General features: G+C 39.3%; 1 pseudogene; it reads left to right on the top strand.

The window, feature by feature from the left end:
- RPL18P13 (ribosomal protein L18 pseudogene 13) lies at positions 2,282-2,923 on the top strand (annotated as a pseudogene).

The raw sequence follows: 4,038 nt of genomic DNA, 5'->3' as shown, positions 1-4,038 counted from the left end.
ATGCTGGTGAGCATAAGCAATACGGAAATATAGTAGAAAGATAATGTCAACTCCAAGGGATTTCCAAGGACTTAGCTTAGAAAATGCACAGAATTCAAGGCAGCTCTGAGGAGCCAAGAATGTGGACCTAGGTGTCCTCTTGTCTTTGCTCAGTAGCACCAGGCCTGAGAGTGGAGTAAGCAGTCAGCCAAATATTAGATGCATGCCCACATGCTGATTGCCAGAGTCAAGGAGGGAGGTGTGGCCCTCTGGCAGCCATATTGGTAGGCGGCCCTCTACTTCTTACCAGTTAACTCACTGGGGAATGCCCCAGAGCCACGATTGGGGTAAATTTTGAGTAGGCAAAAATTTACAAGTTGAACTTCCCCTTAATTTCACACATGACTTATCTCACATGACATTTCTAAAAATTTCATTTTATAGATAATACTTCTCTGAATGTAATGGAATATATTCCTTATGAATACAATTGTGCATATTGATTCTGCAAGGAAAGTCAGGTCTCATCAGTCTAGAATCACGGGATCATGTCCATTTATTCTGTGGAATCATTTTGTTCTATCTCCTTTTTTGTCATTAGAGTGCTACTACATACACAAATTGATGAAATTGCCCATAAAAGATGATATCATATGTCTTAGGTTTTCTCTGTATTCTGTAACAGTTTATAGAAACCTTGATGTCTTAGTTTATTTGTATTCAAACCATCTCAATTTTTTAATTCCAAAAAGTCCAGTTTGGGTGGGAAGTATCATCTCTCATTTGTTTTTACTAAATGTGTATTTATACTAAAGATCCCATGTAGTTACTTTTTTGCAAAGGAGAAAATGAGTGATTTCAATTTTTTTAACATTGCTTTTTGAATAGTTGAGACTCTACAGCAAAAGTCAATATAGTTCCTTATACTTCTAAAAGAGTAGTTCAGGACAGGTGCAGTGGTTCACACCTGTAATTCCAGTACTTTGGGAGCCTGAGGCAAGTGGATCACTTGAACCCAGGAGGCAGAAGTTGCAGTGAGCTGAGATTCCGCCACTGCACTCAGCCCGGGTGACAGAGTAAGACTCTATCTCAAAAAAGAAAAAAAAAAAGTAGTTCCTAAAGTAACACTTAAGTAGGGAGTATGTTCTTACATGATTCTTGAATTCTGATCACCTTTAATAGAACCACAGTGAATTAATTTTGGGGAGAATGCGACTCATTTTCTTATTTATTGTACTTTAAGTATGATACCATTCTTTGAAGCCATGAATTTATAATCCCCTCAACATTTAAAAAATGATGAGTTGGACTGGATGCAGTAAAAAGAGAGAACTTTTATGAGTTGTCCAAAAACTCCCTAGCCTAGAAGATGCCCAAATTCACAACACCATAGTTACAATTTTTTAGGACATAAATTACCTTTCCAAATAATTACTGAAATAGACCAAAAAAAATCATGTTAAAACCTTTTAAAATAAAAATCCTATTAAAAAAAGTTATATAGTACTATGTTAGATTACATGCGTATTTTATAAAATTGAAATATGAAAATTGTTTAATAATATTTTACTTCACTAGAAGCCTTTAGGTTTATCTAATGTCTATTTGGAATCCGTTGTGATGAGTAGAACTTAATTAAATAGTTAACAATTTAATAAGTTTTAAATTTGAGTGTTTTTCTTTTCAGTCCTATTTTGTAGTATATATTTCAGCAGACTTACGAATATTTCAGCAAAGCAAAATAACAGTGGGCCCTACCTCATAGAATTATTATGAGAATTGAATGAGATAAGTCTTATGAAAATATTAACATAAACAATTTTAATCACAATAGTAATATTAATAGTGCTCTTATTCCTCTTACTGCGTTTAGGAACAAATATGCCTTACTTTAAGATTTTAACCTAAAAATCTTGATATATACTGTAACTACCACAATGACATGTAGTGTGCAAGATTTTAGAATTTAATAAAGCATGTTCAAAAATCGGTGCTAATGCAGGACCACAAAAGTATTCCTAAAATTATGCTACATTGAGTAATATGATTTTTTGTTTGTATCATATCAATCAGAACAAGTACTTTATGAGTTTGAACATATGGGGAGAATTTAGCAAATGAACTTTTTATCTTAAAAGTTAATAGATTCTCCACATGTAGCAATGCATTAGTGAAGCTATTATCTCGGAAAGATTAAAAAATAAAGACACAAATGGAGGGAATTTCTGCAAGAGAGAGGGGAAAAGAAAGGGAGAGAGGAGAGGAAGAAGTCTTAATAGAAAATGTGCACATTGGCCGTTCTCTCTTTCCGTACCTGGCCGAGCAGGAGACGCCATCATGGGAGCTGACATCTGCCACAACAAGGACCGAAAGGTTCGGCGCAAGGAGCCCAAGAGCCAGGATATCTACCTGAGGCTGTTGGTCAAGCTGTGCAGTTTTCTGGCCAGACGAACCGACTCCACATTCAACCAGGTTGTGCTGAAGAGGTTGTTTATGAGTCGTACCAACCGGCCACCTCTGTCCCTTTCCCAGATGATCCAGAAGAGTGAAGCTTCCTGTCCGGGAAAACAAAACGGCCGTGATTGTGGGGAGCATAACAGATGACGTGCGGGTTCAGGAGGTGCCCAAACTGAAGGTGTGTGTGCTGAGTGTGACCAACCTGGCCCGCAGCCGCGTCCTCAGGGCAGGGGGCAAGATCCTCACTTTTCGACCAGCTGGCCGTGGACTCCCGCAAGGGCTGCAGCACCGTCCTGCTCTCCGGTCCTCTCAAGGGCCGAAAGGTGTACGGGCATTTTGGCAAGGCCCCGGGAACCCCGCACAGCCACACCAAACCCTACGTCCACTCCAAGGGCCGGAAGTTCGAGCGCGCCAGAGGCTGACGGGCCAGCTGAGGCTACAAAAACTAACCCTGGATCCTACTCTCTTATTAAAATGATTTTGGATGCAAAAAAAAAGAAAAGAAAAGAAAATGTGCACATTGACATTACAGTGGGGGGTGAGAAAAAGTCTCTTAAGTAGCATTTTACATGAGGTTCCTCATTGTTGGTTTACTCCAAATGTTGTCAAACTTCACGGTACATGAGAATTGGCTGGAGGGCTTAATAAAACGCAGATTTCTGGGTCTCACCCCCAGATTCTGATTTGTAGTTGGGTAGGACCCCAGAATTCAAATTTTAAGTTCCCAGCTGATCTCATCCTGCTGGTCTGGCGAACCTCACTTGGAGAACCACTGGTCTAGTTTGTAACAGATTGACAGACTACTGCTTCATTCTACATGTCGGTAAGGAAATCTAAAAATGTTTTCATGAATACTACATAGGAATGATACAATTCGTTTTCCCAGATTTTACCTATTATTGTTAAGAATAAGCTGTTAAAGTTTGTTACACATATAAACAATTATTCCATATCCTGAGGGTTGCATGTAAATATAGGTATCCCACAAACATATTTAAAAGCACAAATTAGACACAATAAGCATTTTTAGCCATGGCCAATGAATAAGAATAGAGAACATCAATTAAATTGATAGAAATTAAGGCCAGGCGCGGTGACTCACGCCTGTAATCCCAGCAATTTGGGAGGCCGAGGTGGGAAGATGGCCTGTGCCCAGGAGTTCTAGACCAGCCTGGGCAACAAAGTGAGACCCCCGTCTCTACAAAAAATTAACCCGCATGGTAGCATGTGCCTGCACTCTCAGCTACTTGGAAGGCTGAACTGGAAGGATCGCTTGAACCCTGGGAGGTTGAGGCTGCAGTGAGTCATGATCACGCCGCTGTACGCCAGCGTGGGTGACAGAGTGAAGACTCTGACCCCTCCACCAAAAAAAATTGTACAAATTGAAACAACAATGAAACACCATTTTTCCCATTTCAGAAAGGGCTTCTGAAAATGTTTTATAATATCCTTTACCTTGTTGGTGGAAGTCTAAGGTCATGCCACCTAGAAAAAGGATGATTCCTGAGTTTATCTAGGTGGTGAGATTCGGAGTCATGATTTATACTTATTATGGTTTCTTATATTAAAATAAAACTATAAAATATAAGTAATGAAAAATGT

The sequence above is a fragment of the Homo sapiens genome, chromosome 16, assembly GCF_000001405.40.
Source record: "Homo sapiens chromosome 16, GRCh38.p14 Primary Assembly".
In the NCBI taxonomy this organism is placed as follows: Eukaryota; Metazoa; Chordata; class Mammalia; order Primates; family Hominidae; genus Homo; species Homo sapiens.
The sequence above is the reverse complement of the archived record's forward strand: the minus strand, read 5'-3'. Positions and strand labels throughout refer to the sequence as shown.